The 18,473-nt window shown below is 39.3% G+C and overlaps 1 non-coding gene and 1 pseudogene across 2 annotated transcripts in view; both read right to left on the bottom strand.

The window, feature by feature from the left end:
- Positions 1-421: 421 nt before the first annotated feature.
- The window catches only part of LOC102724642 (anaphase-promoting complex subunit 1-like), a 71,644-nt pseudogene continuing 53,592 nt past the window's right edge, over positions 422-18,473 (bottom strand). Inside the window, exons 23-31 of the transcript NR_171620.1 lie at positions 17,175-17,292; positions 16,138-16,215; positions 15,712-15,779; positions 14,184-14,322; positions 11,663-11,749; positions 10,039-10,134; positions 8,223-8,421; positions 3,704-3,838; positions 422-767 (exon numbers count right to left, since the gene is read on the bottom strand). The product of NR_171620.1 is annotated as an anaphase-promoting complex subunit 1-like (transcript). The remainder of the gene's footprint in view (positions 768-3,703; positions 3,839-8,222; positions 8,422-10,038; positions 10,135-11,662; positions 11,750-14,183; positions 14,323-15,711; positions 15,780-16,137; positions 16,216-17,174; positions 17,293-18,473) is intronic.
- On the bottom strand, positions 2,422-2,495 carry MIR4771-1 (microRNA 4771-1). The gene has a single exon (NR_039928.1). It is a non-coding gene; the product is annotated as a microRNA 4771-1 (primary transcript).

Here is an 18,473-nt window from a genome sequence, read left to right as displayed (position 1 = left end):
CCTCACTTAACCTTAGTAATCTCCTATATGCCCTATTGCCTAATACAGTCACACAGGGATTAGGGCCTCAATATATAATTCTGGGAGGACACAATTCAGTCCACAGTACTTCATGTTGAGCAACTGAGGGCAAAAATCTCCTTCTCCTGTTTAAGGTGATCACATCATAAGAGTGTCTGGCATTGTCACCAGAAGTACAAACTTATTTTAGACAGGACAACTGTGACATCTGAGGAAATGCTAAAGCGCTCTTTTGCCACAGAAAGTAAAACTTTATGACATAGCTTCTTTTAAAACTTGGCATTTTTGGGCTTAGTCACTTCACCTATACCACCACAGTTCAAAGACTTTAAAAATCAATATTCACTCCAGCAACCCCTGCTCTATTCTCTAAGTCCAAAACTAAAGCAATCATCAAGAGTTTTGGAAACAAACCAAAAACTTTATTTACAAAAGTAAATTTTAACTTGCTTTTATATGTCATATACCGTTAATGATGACAGCAACAGATTTAAAATACATTGAGGTTTGTGCAGCTCATTTCCCCCTAGTTATACCATAAAACTTTATAAACATTGCTTTAGCTTTGATGTTTGGTCACGTTTTTTGTGCAGAAGTCACGTTTCAGGGTAGGTTCACCGCCAGACACGGTCACATCACCATTGGCTGTGGATTTCCAAGAAGCAAAGGAGCCAATCTCAGCAAAGCTCGCACTGGCATTTTTAGCTGCTTAAATTTGAAGAGCAGTTCAGCAAAGCTTGTGCTCCCTAAAATGGAAATGGGGTGGGAAGGTCACATCTCTAAATAAATTCAGCCATACCTCTCCTTTCAAGGAAGCTTCAGAAACACAATCATGTTTAAAACAGGCATTTTTCCCTTTGAAAATGACTATGCAAAGACAATATTTAAAATTATGAAATTCCTTAATACACTGTAATGTAAATTGAGTATCCCTTTTCCAAAATGCTTCCGAAGAGAGAGGTGTTTTGGATTCTGGATTTTTTTAGATTTTGGAATATCTGCATTACACCTACTGGCTGAGAATTCTTTTTTTTTTTGGAGACGAAGTCTCACTTTGCCACCGGGGCTGGAGTGCAGTGGCGCTCTCTCGGCTCACTGCAAACTCCACCTCCTGGGTTCACCCATTCTCCTGCCTCAGCCCCCCGAGTAGCTGGGACTACAGGTGCCCACCACCACGCCCAGCTAATTTTTTTTGTATTTTTAGTAGAGATGGGGTTTCAACGTGTTAGCCAGGATGGTCTCGATCTCCTGACCTCGTGATCCGCCGGCCTCGGCCTCCCAAAGTGCTGGGATTACAGGCATGAGCCACTGCGCCCAGCCTCGGCTGAGCATTCTTAATCCAAAAATCCCAAATCCAAAATGCTGTAATGAACATTTCCTCTGAGCATCATGTTGGTGCTCAAAACGTTTTCGATTTCAAACACTTCAGATTTCAGATTAAGGATACTCAAACCTGTATATGATTTGATAGAATTTACCCATTCTAGACTTCAGAAAGTGACCTATAACTACATGTGAAACTACTAATATTGTTTAATTTTATATATATATATATATATATATATATAAATTCTTTAAATATAATGTGCAAAAGTGCCTGTCTACCTTCAAATACTATCTAAGTGGTATTTTACTGGTTCTAATACAGTTGACCATTGAACAACCCTGTTTGTCCAGCCTGGCCTGAAAAGAAGTCTATACTTTTAAAATGTCTTCCTTTTCCTTTTAGTAGTTTGACTATTAATGTGACTAGGTATGGTTTTCTTTGTATTTATCCTGCTTAGGGTTCACTGTGGGTTAATATTTAACACCATTTTTCAAAATTCTTAGCTTCTGTCTCTTCAAATATTGCTTCTAACTCATTTTTTCTCTCCTCTTATTCTCTTATTCCAACCCCATGCATGTTTATTTTTTTTTTCACGGTTTCCACATGTCTCTTGTACTCTTCTCTGTATTTCCTAACCATTCTTCCCTCTGTGCTTCAGTTTGTTTACTTTCTACTTGTCTTCCAGCAGATAAGTGTCTTCCAGTTCACTTCAAATAATCCAATACTGAGATCTTCATTTCAGTTACTATATTTTTCAGTTCTAGAATTTCCATTTAACTCTTTTTTATTGACCCCAGGTTTCTGGTGAAATTCCCTATCATTCCTTCTATTTTCCTGGAAACATTAGACATAGTTATTTTAAGTTCCAGTATGATAACTCCAATATCTGAATCACACATAAGTCTGTTTCTATTATCTGTTTTTTTATTATTATTATGTTTCATAATTTTTGATTCAACACTGAATCCTGTAGACTAAAAATTGTGGGGGCTCTGGGTATGTTTTCTTTCTCCTATGAAGGTTACATTTTCTTCTGTCAGGTGGGGAGAAAGCACACAGATCACCTTAGTTCTGCTCTAGGCTAATTGTAGGTCAAGTCTGCTTGGAGTGAAACTGAAGCAGACCAGATCTAAAATTAGGCTAGAGCAGGCTTAGGGCTTGGCCATGTATTAATTCACCTGAGGAGCTGGGATGCTGATCAGAGCCACTTCACTTTAACAAGCGTTGAATTCCACCCTTTGTCTCCTCAGTCCTATGCTGCTGCTGACATTTTTGCTTACATTTTTGGCCTTGTGGCTTCTGCTAGATCTCTTGAAGTCTTATCCCATGTATATGAAGGCTAAAATATCATTAAGTAACTCAAGGGAAAGGTATATCCAGAGTCTGAGTTATGATTTCTATCGTTCTCTCCTGCCTGAGACTGTGTTCCTCAAGTTCTAGGCTCTTGGGCAATCACAAACCCAACCTCTGGCTCCTCAGCCCTGCAGCATTGCTGCTTTTTGCTGGCACTCTACTTCTTGTACTATGAACTGGCAAATGCCTTTGGGGGAGAAGCTAGGGTGAATATAAAGCTCTCCCTGTTGTACTTCCCTTTTCTTATTTTTTTTTTTTTTAGCTTTTATATTTGTTTTTGAGGGCAAGTGAGTCCAATACAAGCAATTCCATCATGGCCATAACCAGAAGTCTCTAGATAGTAAACTTTTATCAGAGGCTTGCAAAACAGCAAAAAACTAGTAATGTAATTAAACTTCAAGTTTAAATGATTAAATGGAACAATCTTTGCCCTTATCAGAAAATATTTTTTTTGAGAATCTCAGAAAAATTGGGTGCTTAGAATTCATCATATCTTAGTATTCAGCTTAATGGATAAATTTTTTTTATCTGTTTCTGTATTCTGAAAAATACAATCAGGTGATAATACTATTAATTTTTAAAACTATTATAAAAAAATTCAAACACAAAATTAGGTATTTATTAGTTGTAAAGCTTTGTAATATTAGAAATTAAGATTATATGTGATTCTAAAAAACCCAACTGAAAACCTAGAAAATAAAGAAAAATAGCTTTAATAAAAAAATCAATTAGTAAAGAATAATATGGAATATTTAGTTTATTAGTATAGATCAGTGTTTGGGGCTCTGTGAAGAAGAATCCATCCTTTTCTGAATAAAAATGAAAGTTATTCATATATAAAGTTGATAATTTTTTCTTTTTTGCTCCAAAACAGTCCCTAACAATGACACTGCAACATTAATGAAGAGGAAAGTCAAACTAGGGGCAGTAACTACTGAGAAACTAGAACGTAAAGGGGTAGGTAACAGAGGTACTGAAGATAAGACTTAGATATGCAATTACCTTCTAGTCCTATAGGTGGCAGGTGCTGTGGAGCTGGCACAGAGTGGTAGACGAGGAAGCAGGCCAGCATGCTCAGCTGTGATTCCTCCAAGGGCTGCCCGCTGAGGTAGGCGTGCACACACATATCACCCCCGACTGTGAGAGAAACAAATGGAACGGAACCAACTGATGACAGAACTGAGAGGCACAAGAAATATCTTCTATTACTTTTTCATCAAGAACTTATTGAACGCTCAGCATATATAAAGCAGGTTCTATAGCCGGTATTGAGGCTACTCTGACAAGCTAGACTGAGTCCCTGTCATTGTAGAGTTTAGAGTGTTGTTGGGGGAGACAGATATTACACAAATAATGACACAAACAAATGCATAATTACAAATTGTGATGAGTGCTATAAAGGTGCAGTGGTCACTGTGGTTGTCTCCCCGAAATACCCCTTGTCGCACCCTACCCTCCACCATATATTATATTTGATGGGACTGACTTCAGCTCCAGAACTAGATCCTTACTAGTCTTGGCCAGGGGTCCTCAAACTTTAACATGTGCCAGAATCACCTGGAAGGCTTGTTAAACCACAGATGAGTGGGCCCCACTCCATGCACAGAGCACAGAGATTCTTATTCAGTAGGTCTGGGGTGGGGCCAGAAAAACTCCATTTCTAACAAGTGCCCAGGTCATGCTGCTCCATAAACCACACTTTGAGAATCACTGATCTTGGGTGATCAAGGCAATCCCATTCTCCTGATGCAGTGTTAGTTCAGAGACAGGCAAACCCAGGCCATTTTTTCAATAAGAGACATTCTCTGCCACAGGGATAGATTGAGAGGTGTGCATGAGATGCAACTCGAGCCAGAAACCTGAGGAGGTACTTAATGACAAGCTTGCTGGAGGCTCCAGGGAAAGAAATTCCCTCATTCTCATCACAAAACTCCTAGAAGCAACTCTATTCTTCCTCTGAGTATCATGCTGAGCTAGAGGTGAACATGTTACAGCCATTTGATTACCATCTGAAAAATGCACTGAGGATAAAGTCATGGCACAGAATGTAGCTGATGGAACCTCAGAGAAATGGAGTTGAAGACACTGGAAAAAGATGACCCTTTACGTGCCTTACCTGCAGACCTCTAATAACATAGGCATACTTGTGTCCTTACTGTTTAAAGGCAGGTTAAGTCAGGCCTTCTGTTACTTGCAAACAAAGGCATTTTGATACAGAAAAAAGGTAGAGAGCATGAGCGGGCAGGCTAAAGATGTCAGGAAAGCTGCCTGAGGGAGAGTGGTCTTGGAAGGCCTGGGAGGAAATGCCATTAAAACTGAGGCTGCATGGATAAATATGAGTTGGGCAGGTGAAGAATGAGAGGAAAAGGTTCTAGGGAGGGAAAACAGCATATTCAATGGCCCCACAGTGAAAAGGAGCTCAGTGTTTTTGAGCAAGTGGAAGGGGCCAGGGTGGTGTGGGGAGCAAGTGGTATAAAAGAGGCTTTGTTGAGGAAAACAGGCGCCTTGCAGGTCACACAGGTCCTGGTGCCACACAGTAGGGATTTCTTTCACAGCTGAATCAGGAGCCATTGAAAAGCTTTAAGCAGGAGTGTTACATCAGTTTATTCTTTAAAAGACTGTTCTGTCAGTTAAATTGAGATGGTTGGAATGGAGATGAGAAAAAGCAAGGAGGCTATTTAGGAGGCTATAACAGTGGTCCAGGCACAAAATCATCATTCTGTTCTAGGTAGAAATAGTAAAATGTGGACAAATTCAAGAAATATCTATGATGAGGACTGAAAGGCATCAGCAATGGGTCAGCTATCGCAGAGAAGGGAAGGAGGGAAAGGAGCAAGGATGACTTCCAAAAGGGTCAACAAAGGAGTGACAGTGAAATGGTGACAAATACTGAGAATTTTTAAAGAGGATTTTTTTTAAAAATTGGGAAAGTGTGCTATGACAAAGTCAAGGGAGGCTCATTTCAAGAAGGAAAATGTAGCTAAAAGCCTCACCATTGTAGAGATGGAGTGAGATGAAAACTGTAGACTCCACTGAACACAGTTGTGAGGATGTCAGTCTACTGGGAGGTGGAAACATTTAGGTTTGGGGGAGGCAGCAGAGGGAGAAAGGTTAAGGGAGAACAGATGAGATTCTTCTTTGAACAGCTCATCATGAAGGAGAGCATGGTGGTTCAGCCTCTCTTCAATGACTTTCTCATGTCTACCAGCATTTTGTTTCACTGATTTTCTCTATTGCTTATCTGTTTTTGGTTTCATTGGTTTCTGCTTTTATTTGCTTGCTTTGGGTTTACTTTGCTTTCCTACTGCACTTGACAAGTCTTAAAAAAAAAAAAAAAAAAAAAGGACAATGCCAAAAATTGCATTGCAATCCACTGCTGGTGGGAAAGTAAAATGGCACAATTTGGAAAATTGAGTGTGGCAATGGGTGAAGGTACAAATGACGCAAAAATAGGAGAATGCTGGCAACTATTAAAATTGGTGTTGTGGTTTATTACACTAGTCTACTTACTTTGTATATTCTTTAAATTTCCATAACAAAATATGAAAAAGTTAATAAAACTTTTTAAAGTTCTTAAACTTGAAACCCGCTTTCTTTGCCCAAAATTATAATTTGAGGAGATAAATACTGTACAAAACATTTATATAGGCCAGGCGCCATGGCTCACGCCTGTAATCCCAGCACTTTGGGAGGCCAAGGCACGTAGATCATGAGGTCAGGAGTTCGAGACCAGACTGAACAACATGGTGAAACCCCGTCTCAACTAAAAGTACAAAAATTAGCTGGGTGTGGTGGCATGCACCTGTAATCCCAGCTACTCAGGAGGCTGAGGCAGGACACTTGCTTGAACCCAGGAGGTGGAGGTTGCAGTGAGCTGAGATCGCGCCACTGCACTCCACCCTGGTGACAGAGCGAGACTCTGTCTCAAAAAAAGAAAAAACAAAACCGACATTTATATAATATAAATTGGCTGCATTTTCAGATTAGTGTAGTGATTCAATGGGTTATCTCAGATCTAATGAGTTGTTAGTGAGTGATCCTGAAAGTCCACATATGCATCTGTGATTTTTACACACAAATATGAATGCAATTTCCAATTTTCAGTTAATTTATTGTTCTCTACCCCAATGCCAACTGCTAGTGCTTGTAAGAGAGGAGACTATATATTTAAGAGGTTTTGTTTTAAAAAAAAATTCTAGTTTTTCACTAAAAAATAAACACATTTTTGATAAATCTGTGTGGCAAGTCAAATTCAATGGAGGCTGACAGCAATGCTGGAAACCACCAAATGCGCTAAAGAGCAACAAGGCAATCAGGGCCCTGTTTTAGAGAATGTTCTAATCACTGCCAAAGTTCCATACATTATATGAAATGTGCAAATCAGGGAATCTGCAAAGATTTAAGGAAGTATTTATTATCAATAGCAAAGGTCTGCCATAGGTGATCAAATGTTAAATTGAATAAAAACGAAACACGAAAACCTTTGAAATAACATGTTTTTCCCCAAAAATGAGGATAAAAATGACTATCCAAAAAATTATGAAGTTATATGATCTTTGAATCTGAACAGGAAATGACAAATACAATGCAGCTTTTAAATATAAACATGGAGAGTCTGCAATCAGGCTTTCCAAGTATATCCCTCACAACTTGGTTTACAATTTAATTTTTTTCAGAAATTTATTTCCTAGTGTTACAGGTGGATAGTTTTAAACTGAATTATATTCAAACGCTTAGGGTCTATTGATTACTAATAGTTTTCACTAATCAAAGCAAGAATTGTTTCTACTACTATTACTAAGGTTAGTATTAACCCAAAGCAAGCAACTGTCAGATATTTACTGGGAGCATTTGAATGAACTAAAAAGAATGAAAAGATCAAGGAGTCTACTCCTGAAAATCAGTTTCAGGTGTATTTAACACACAGACACATTTCCATAAATCTAAAGGCCCCATCGCTTGCCTCATGTAAGTCAGAATCACTTCTACACTGTTAACGAGTAACTACAATTTCCTTGCAATCACAAATCCTGCTGATAGAAAGCCACCACTGTGACATCACATAGCTGTGCGGTCCCAGGTTTTCAAAACTGAGTTGGTACAACAAGCTCACTCAGCAAGCACACGTCAACTTCTACATGTACATGTGGTGCCAGTACAAAAACAGGATGGCTGCTGGCCTCAGGAAGGCAACAGGCCACACCCCTAGGAAACAGGAGACAGAGGCACTGGAAAGGAAATGTGATCTGATGCTAGGGAAGAGAGAACAAGGTCCTGAGCACCAAGTGGTATTTAAAATGCTATAAATATTATCTGCCTGGGTCAGATGTATTTTACTAAAGAAGCTAAAGTAGATAATCAAAGTCTAATTCATCTAGCTGGAAACGTTAAATCTATAGCCATTCTTGCTTATACTCAGATTTATCTTGCTTACCAATGAAAAAACAAAGTTACAACAGAAAAGCCTGAACCGAATGTATCTCAAAAGCACAAGAGCGCTATGCTACAATGCTACTATTACCTTGTAGCCACTGGTCCAGGGTATTATCAATGGTGCACTTCACAACAGGGAGGAATTCCGAGTTCATAAAGAGCCCCCGCTTAGGGTGGTTCTGCAGCCGCTCCTGATGGCTTCGGGAGCTGAAAAACTCTAACACCAACTTTATCTGCCAAAGTTCAGAAGTCTCAGACATTTCTCTTCTCCCAAGTCTTCTTATAGCCTTGAAGAGGAAAGAGGACAACAATCTATTTAATCAAAGAGTGCTCTGTCTCTTCATCAGAGTTGTAGACTGAGTATTTTTTAAATGTGGCTCCGAATTATAAAGGGTCGGGGGGTGGTCCATTCTGTGTTTTGATGCAGTCTGCCCACAGAGGCGCCGTCACTGGGTACAGGTGAATGGCTCACCTCCTTCAATATGGCCCTACATGAGGAGCTTGCAGGGAAAAGTAACAAAGGTGAATGAGCTCATTCTTGGCTCAACAGCTCCGAATAACCAAGACCCAAAAGGTCATAGCCAGTCACCTCTGGGAAACTCAAGCTGGGTACAATGACATGGCAGAGATCCCAGGGGGTAGAGGGCAAGAAGAACACTACTAATAATACTGCCCTTGAGATCCATCTGCAAGTCACTACAGCTGCAACCAGAGAAGATATTCATGCATAAAGACCTGCCACCCATGACTGTAAAGGTGTGAGGGTTCAGAGAGTAAAAAGACACATTCTCAGCCAGCAACATTCTCATCCAGCAAATAACACAACTTGTTATTTGGCTGCTATACAAAGAGGCACTGTGAGAAGCAGTGCCAGCGTGGATACCATATATCCATACTTTCCAACCAAAAAAGGGTGGATTCCAGACAATAATGGCATTCTGGGCCTACTTAGTTATATTGGAACTTGGTTTTTAATGATGTTACTTAACACTGTGTGTTTTCTGGTTTGGGGGAATTATCCTCTGGCTAAATATATTTTTCCATTCAGCTTTTTAGCAAATTATTTTTATCATTAAAGGTTATTTCTCTTAGACACTGAGTCTCAGATGCTCAGCTGTGAACTTACTATATTCACTTAAAGAGCTGTTTAAAACTAGATTCTGGATCTCACCCCAGAAATTCTGATTCAATAGATGAGACATGGAATTAAAGGATCTGTATTTTTAAGATACCAAGGCAAATTTCTGCCAGGTTAGAAAACTACTGGCTTGGCTTAGCTCCAAATCTGGGTCTGAAAGATATGATAATACTGAAAAGGTGTATGTATTACTAATTTGCCTAAAGTGAATAAATTGGTCTGATCCTTTAAGAACATTATTAAGCATTATTTTCTGCATTACCCCTTTAGGCTCTTTTAAAATAGCAATAACAAGAGAAATTTAAAAATGAACTCCAATGCCTAGATAACTGCATATGGACTCTGTAACCTCTTGCAAGCTTCATCACATAGGTCTAATTTCACAGTACTGCCATCGCTAGGGTTCTGTTCACTAACGGCTCACATGCAGACTTCTACAAAGAGGCATTGCCAGGAGGGAGGCAAAAATAAGATGGGAGAGAGGAAGGGAGTGCTCCCCTCCTCTCCTAGTCAGGGGAGACAAAAGGGAGGAATGGGAACCCTTAAAGGAAGACAGCCCCCCAAGGGGCACTCCTGTCAACATAAAGCCCAAGCTTTTTGGATTTTTGAGAGCTTTCAAATTTTATATGGTTTCCTTTCTTAAATTTCCAAAAGCAAATGGGAAACTAAAAGGAAGGACACTAGGAACCTTACCACACTATTCAGTGAGTTACTTGAACTACAGGACAAATTTCACCAGAATTGGTATAGGTTTTTGGATCCATACCTGATCCATTGCTATGTATGCAGGCAACATCTCTGAGGTCTCCTGGGTAACACATTCATAGAGTACTGAAGAAAAGAGATCCAGAATTTCCTGTTTCTGCAGAAAATCAGAAGTTTTGTAGCACAAAGTATATTCCAAAATCAATTCAAAAACAAATTGTATAGCACTACTATGGCCCATTCTTAAGTTTTATAATGAATGACATAAAAGTAACACTACAATCTTTTAAAAAAGCCACAGCACATGTAACATTAAACATTAATAAAAAAAAAAAAATTAAGTCCCAAGAGACAGTTAAGGATAGTAAGTGCTACAGAAGAGAGGAATGGACCAAACTAGGACAAAATGAGTAGATAGGACATCACAGAGCTATGCCTTGGGTTGGGCTGGGAAGAGTAGGATCCAGAAAGGAAACCGAGTAACAAAGCTGCAAGAAAAAAAACACTGACCAGAACAAGTTTAGGGGAGGTGGCAGAGTCAAGTCCAGCTGGGGTTAAGGGTGGGCATGGGCTTTATTAGAGACCCGTGACCTGGAGTGCACAGCCCAGCTCTTACTAGCTGTGAGATCTTGGGCATGTGACATCTCTCAGTGGCAGTTTCCTCATCTGTAAGCCCAGAATGATAAAATACCTATTCTCAGGGTCATAATTAAATGACATTTAAGTATTAGCAGAGTGTCCCATGTATAGTAAAGATTCAATAAAAAAGAGAGGGGAAGGTTATTTCACTTAATCCTCAAAACAATACTGTAAGGTAGGTTCTATTATAATCACTTTTAGAAATGAGGAAACTACATTTTGGAGAGGTTGAGAAATTTTCTGAAGGCCATATATGCATCCAATCTTTCCTTGTCTCTATGGTGGATTAAGTCAAAGATCTGGGCCAGGCACAGTGGCTCATGCCTATAATCCCAGCACTTTGGGAGTCCAAGGTGGGAGGATCATTTGAGCCCAGAAGTTCAAGACCAGCCTGGGCAATATAGTGAGACTCCATCTCTACAAAAAATTTTTTTAAAAAAGTAGCCAGGCATGGTGGCTACATGCCTGTAGTCCCAGCTACTCAGGAGGCTGAGGTGGAAGGATGGCTTCACTCCGGGAGGTCAAGGATGCAGTGAGCCATGATCACGTCACTGCACTCCAGCCTGGGCAACAGAAAAAACCGACCCTGTCTCAAAAAGCAAAAAACAAAAAAATAAAGAAAAATCTGCTCAGCACCCTTGGAATCTTGAAGGTAACAGGTGTATGAACAATAAAAAGAAGGGTTATAATATACAGAGGAAACAGTTAATGAAATTACATAAAAATAAGAGAAAGGTGGTAAACACTGAAAACATAAAGCAGAATATGGATGGGTATCATTCTTGTAGATGACAGAAACTATCATCTGTCAAAACTGATGTCTTATAAATTTTAAGTTGTTTCTTCTATCAAGGTAGAAAGTTGCTGAATTTAATAGTTTTAGGCTATGCAAATCTATACGTGCCAAGCAAAAGTCATCCAATGTGACTGACGCATGTCATCAATCTCAAAGATAGATATAGATAGTAGAGATGTTTTGGGTGACCCATGCATAGAAATAATAACAAATTCTAGTCCTGGGGCTCGGCAAACCATAGAATATATACCTGACCCATGTTCACAGTTGGCTTGCAGAAATATTCAGCAAATGACAGAAGTGCTGGATCAGAAGTGAATGCTGAGATTGTTTCTGGCTAAAAAAACAAACAACCACAACAGTATAAGACAACAAAAGATTATTTTCCTTACGCTTAAACTGTAATACACACAGTTCTAACAACTCTACCTCCCCTTTGTCACCCAACATTCCCAAAAAATCCCAGATGATGCAAACTTGCCTCATCAACCTGTTCTGCTAAGAAGTTACAAGAAGCTTTTGCACAAGTTAACATGAGCTGCTAATTTATCAAAAGGCCAATAACAAACAGGTCTTCCTGTTTACACAACTCATCCAAAAAAGGCTTTTCCCTCCTTCACTGACTAATTAAAAAGCCTACCAGAAACTAGAATTGTTACTGAAAAGGTAAGGAAAAAAGAATATCACTCAAGCCAGCCACAAAAAGATAAACAGTGTATGAAACCACATAAATGAGGTACTTAGTATAATCAAAATCACAGAGACATAAAATAGAACGGTGGTTGCCAGGGACTAGGGGAAGTAGAATGAGGGGTTATTGTTGCAGGTATAGATCTCAGGTCTGCAAGATGCAACAGTTCTAGAGATGGATGGTGGTGATGGTTGTGCGTTATTGTTGCAGGTATAGATCTCAGGTCTGCAAGATGCAACAGTTCTAGAGATGGATGGTGGTGATGGTTGTGCGTTATTGTTGCAGGTATAGATCTCAGGTCTGCAAGATGCAACAGTTCTAGAGATGGATGGTGGTGATGGTTGTGCGTTATTGTTGCAGGTATAGATCTCAGGTCTGCAAGATGCAACAGTTCTAGAGATGGATGGTGGTGATGGTTGTGCGTTATTGTTGCAGGTATAGATCTCAGGTCTGCAAGATGCAACAGTTCTAGAGATGGATGGTGGTGATGGTTGTGCGTTATTGTTGCAGGTATAGATCTCAGGTCTGCAAGATGCAACAGTTCTAGAGATGGATGGTGGTGATGGTTGTGCGTTATTGTTGCAGGTATAGATCTCAGGTCTGCAAGATGCAACAGTTCTAGAGATGGATGGTGGTGATGGTTGTGCGTTATTGTTGCAGGTATAGATCTCAGGTCTGCAAGATGCAACAGTTCTAGAGATGGATGGTGGTGATGGTTGCGCAACAATGTGAATGCACTTAGTATTACTGAGCTGTAACTTGCAATGGTTAAGACAATAAATTGTGTGCATTTTACCACAACTTTTTAAACTTGGGAAAAAAACAGTATCACTCAAGGTTCAAGATTGAAAATGAAATATGAAGGTATTACTATTTTCCACTGAGGTTTATATTTTATTTCTGAACTCCAGTAGGCAGGAAATAGAAATAGCTTTTAATTTTTATATACTTTCTTCGTTCAAACTCAAGTCTAAACTTATCTATTTTCTTCACAAATTGGGTTAGAGTCTTTGGAATATGCTCTAATTTTTAGAAGAAGCAATACTACAAATTTAAGTTAAACTGTGTCCAAAAATCTTTCAAAAGTATTTCATAAACAACTTACTGAATACTGCCAAACAAAATTCACCAATGTCAACCCTGGGAACTATTTATACATTTCAATCCTGGGAACCATTATAAAGGCTCGGTCATAAGTAACTGACTAAAATGAAATATGAGTTGAATTAAAATAAACTGCTGTCTCCGTACTTGGAAGAACAAAGGATGCTAACTCAGTCCTCTGGCTGCCACTCATCCAGTCTGCCTGCCCCACTTTTGCCGTCTAATTATTCCTTAGGGTCCTAACTACTTTAGACTACTCTACTTTGTATCACCAGCAGGGACACAGTTGCTCATGGAATTACAGGAAACTGAAGTTAAATTCAGAAGTCTTAATGCCTGATTATGGGACAAATTTCTTGTGTTGGAAACTTATCTGAGTCAAGAATATAGAGCAAAATATGTGCTGACCCCGCCAAGGGAATGAGATTGCTTCCTACCCTCATTTATCGTAACTATTTCCTTATTTCAAACACTACTGCACTGGCAGTCAAGTACTGTGCAAATAATAAAGCAAACTAATAAAAGAAGTCTGAATCTGTCATCAGTTTATCCTCACCGAGATTAAGGAAACAAATGGTGGTTTTTAAATGGAGTTAATAATTGCTAGCTTGCAAAACTCGTTTTCTATTTTTGCTATGAAATTAAGTAAATCTTCACCGATTTGAAGATCAATAATAAAATCACTATTTGTTACAGTGTCAAGATATGGTGTGACTGTCCTTGCTGCTAAATGTAAACATTAACTTACAGTATTTTACTTTATTATATATATATTACTTATTATATACAGTATTTTATATTCATTATATTTTATTATTTATTTTATCACATAAAAAGCAAACAGAGCCACAGTCAGTCTTTACAATCTGCAACAATGAAAAAGGAAGCAGATCCACCTTTGAAGTTTATAGCAATGGGCGAGGAAGCCAGCAATTTAGAATTATTTCTTTCCGTTTTTACCAATCAATAATACTACCTTGAAAGCCCGGGCTTCAGAGTTCCTGTTAGCAACAGTCTGAGCCAACAAACTTTGCCATCCCATTGGATCTTCTTTGTAGGAGAGCTGACCCGCCCGGAGTTTAACATATAAAACCCCATCCTTGGAAAGGATGGACCTGAAAGAAAAAGAATGAATTTAATATAAGGTATTACTGGCAGTTCTTGGCTGGAAACAGTGTTTTCCCAATACCATGTTCACAGGAGATGAAGCTTTTACCATTTTCCACTAAGGTAAATGATTATTTACTGTGTCTAAGATTAAATCAGTCCCTATGAGAAAGCCTAGAATAAAGTTCTGTTTTTCTTTGGTGTCTAGATTCATGGAACTTGTTAAATGAGGAGGCACTTTGACTATTGGCTCAATTATGAGCTTCGAAGATAACATTTTGTCTAACATTTCTTTGTATTCCCTATATCCCCTAGCTCTATGCCTAGGGTACATGAGGTACTAAATATCTATTAATTGGTTTGCAGCAAGAAGAAAATAATGCTGCAAATCTAAGGACAGAACAATACAGAAAACAGCTAATATACAGTCTGGAAAAATTCACATTGGGACCAAACTATAAAAACTTTTACATGCTTGTTAAACTTCCTTGAAATTTAAAGGCTTAACTGACATGCTACTTTAGGTATAAATGTATCAACACTCTAAAATAACTGCACGTGATTATTTCCACCCAAAATAAACTGGCTGAGTAGTATATATTATCTACAATAATCTTAAATTTAGGAGAACTTTCTAGCAAAAGAATGGTAAAGAGATGCAACAAAAGATGTGGTCTGATAAACACTGATTAATAAAGTTCTTTTGTGCGTGTACAAATCAGCTTTACTTTCTGACATGGTTAGGCTCTGTGTCCCCACCCAAATCTCATGTCAAACTGTAATCCCCACATGTCAGGAGAGGGACCTGGTTGGGGGTGATTGGATCATGGGGGCAGATTTCCCTCATGCTGTTCTCATGATAGTGAGTGAGTTCTCATGAGATCTGATGGTTTAAAAGTGTTGCACCTCTCTCTCTCTCTCTTGCTGCCATACAAGACATGCCTTGCTTCCCCTTTGCCTTCTGCCATGACTGTAAGTTTCCTGAGGCCTCCCCAGCCAGGCAGAACTGTGAGTCAATTAAATCCCTTTTCTTTAGAAATTACCCAGTCTCAGGTAGTTCTTTATAGCAGTGTGAAAATGGACTAATACACTTTCTTAAACTAAATCTTATGTTAATATACCAAGAGATAAGTCCATTACTGTCACAAGGAAGTCAGTGCAAGTTTCTCAATAAATAAATATTTAGGGTTGGAGTTTGAAATTAAAACTTTCATTTTCTAACACAAGTCTTGTTTCAAAGATACAGACTGTTTTACAGAAGACATACCCTACATATAGTCTTGAATGAGATTAAAGGGTGATGAGTCACATTCCAGATAATAATCTATAATTTATACCTTCTTATATACTTCTATTCACTTCCTAAAAGGTAAATTTGAGAAATTTAATGTACTTACTTCAAGTGTTGTGTTCCTTTGCTTAAATCTATGAGCAGTTCCCAGTATCTTGGGCCTTTTACTTTAATCTGTCAAGATAAACGTAAACATAGTCAACCCAAAGCTGAAAAATATGCTCATCTGACAAACTGAAACCTATGTTTCTCAGAGGAAACAATAACAGCCAGAAAGAGGCATCTGGAAGGTAACAAGCTCCATTTCCAGACAAAAAATGAATGTAAATCATGTTCTGAGGCCACCTAAGCTATCAATAAAGATCTCTAAGAAAAGACTTGCTCTATTCTTTCTGACTTTTCCTCCTGCTGCAGCTTTCTTATCTGCTACAATACATGAAGAAAGCAGAGGCTTTTATTTAGCTATCTTTAACGCTATGCCATTCTGTTGAATTGACCCCTTGGACCCAACTCCCGAACACACCCAGCTTACCTGCTTTAAAAGATGGAGTTCTGGAAGAAGGGTAGGAGCCATCAATTCTTCTTTGGTTTGTTCATACCACTGAGTGCCCTTTACAAATGTAAAAGTCCAGCCACAATTCACTAGGTAGTCAGTGGAAACAACAAAGAAGAAACATCTCCACGCTATACCTCCCCCTATCCCCGCAGTTCATACAGAGACCTTTAAATGGCATAAAATCCTCTCTGGTACTCAAATCTTAAAGGACTGATGTCTAAATTCCTCACAGGGTATGTGTCCTTCCCATCACTTCAAGCCTTGCTCCTCACAGGCCAGCAGCACCAAAGGCCGTGCTCCAATGCTGCTGGGTTTCTGCACATTGCCTTCTCCGCTGGGAAGGAGCTCCACTCAGTGGGCCAGGCCTAGTCCAAACACTGTCCACTGTTGACAGCCTCAACCCCATAACTAACAGCTAAGCGAGGGTGCTTCTCTGCTTCCCCTGCATTCCACAGACATCTCCAATTATCACCCTCTATTCCCATTGTATCCATGCCTGGCTCCCCAGGGGATAGAAGTTCCTTAAGGAAAATGACAATGTCATCTCATTTTGTACCCCAGAGCCTAGCACGGTTTTGAGTCACAGAAGGTACTTAATAATTTGCTGAATGAAAGGAGGATATAAAACTTGTAATCTATGCATCTAAATGAAAGCTGTCATCAAATACACAATTTTGGGTTTTCAAGTTTCAGCTAACAAATCTAAGAATGGGTCTAACTCAATCAGTTATACAAAACACTACTGTCAGTCACATAAAGTTAACAGGGACATTTTCAAATTATAAGCTCTAAGGACAAAAGAGTAGCTGATGATCCCTAAAAAGTGATACCCAGATCATATAAATGAGCATGAATGGCCTGGCAGGATATACAATAACTTTGGAAGCTTCCATTTTTATGAAAGTTCAATTCATTACTTATCACCTTTTACTGGACAACACATTTGAAATATTATGACCTGCAAAGACGGATGAGTGGTAATAAAATTACAAGTAAATGATAGGGAGAGATACCTTGTAGGTAACTTCTAAGAGGGCATAGCAGGGCGTGTTTGTGTCCACATCCACAGGCACTAGAAGCCTGGGCTCCGCGGCCAGCACATAGAGGTGCCGGAGAGCCTGGAGATGATACCTGTTCACAAAAAAGACAGAGAGTGGGTAACAAACAACTGTGACAATATGAGCTCTGCAATCTGCTGTTGCCTATAAGCTAAGACAGGACAGAAGCTCAAGTAATATCTTCAAATGAACAGAAATCTTAAAGGCAGATAAGATTCTATTAAAAAGTAATGGAGAAATTATCTTTTAAAAATTTTATATAACTGACCTTTGACCCAATAATTCTTTACTTTAGTCTTCACAGTGAAGAGGTTTTACAGGGAGGTAAAAAGTATCATAATATGAAAATATTTACTATCAAACTGACCACTTATAAAATCAATCACTCTCAAAAATCCCTTTCTACTCAACATAGGCATCTGTTTTTATCTTCTCAGATTTTTTTTTCTTTTTCCTTAAGGATTGATAGGGAAGAAGGGGGAAGACAGGATGTCAATTCTTCTCAGACAGCAAAGTTCTTCTACACATACATACTTGCACATACATATACACACGTCCTTGAAACACAGTACATCAAACATCTATGTGGGTATGGCAATATTTTTCTTTGGGGTTCTCAAACAGTTTTTTAAACTTTAAGATTTCTATTTTAGAATGTAAAAACAAAAAAGTTTTCATATTTTAAGATCTCATAAAAGAAAAATAGGCTGGGCACAGTGGCTCACACCTGTAATCCCAGCACTTTGGGAGGCCAAGGCAGGTGGATCACCTGAGGTCAGGAGTTCGAGATGAGCCTGGCCAACATGATGAAACCCCATCTCTACTAAAAAGACAAAAGTTAGCCAGGCCTGGTGGCACATGCCTGGAATCCCAGCTACTCGGGAGGCTGAGGGAGGAGAATCACTTGAACCCAGGAGATGGAGGTTGCAGTGAGCTGAGATCACACCACTGCACTGCAGCCTGGGCAACAGAGGAAGACTCCATCTCAGAAGAAAAAACAAAAAAAAATCGCCCAGGCGCAGTGGCTCACGCCTGTAATCCCAGCACTTTGGGAGGCCAAGATGGGTGGATCACGAGGTCAGGAGATCGAGACCATCCTGGCTAACACGGTGAAACCCCGTCTCTACTAAAAATACAAAAAAATTAGCCAGGCGCAGTGGCTGGCGCCTGTAGTCCCAGCTACTCAGGAGGCTGAGACAGGAGAATGGCGTGAACCTGGGAGGCGGAGCTTGCAGTGAGCTGAGATCGCACCAC

The sequence above is a fragment of the Homo sapiens genome, chromosome 2 (assembly GCF_000001405.40).
Source record: "Homo sapiens chromosome 2, GRCh38.p14 Primary Assembly".
Lineage (NCBI taxonomy): Eukaryota > Metazoa > Chordata > Mammalia > Primates > Hominidae > Homo > Homo sapiens.
This window is presented reverse-complemented; position numbering and strand designations above follow the sequence as displayed.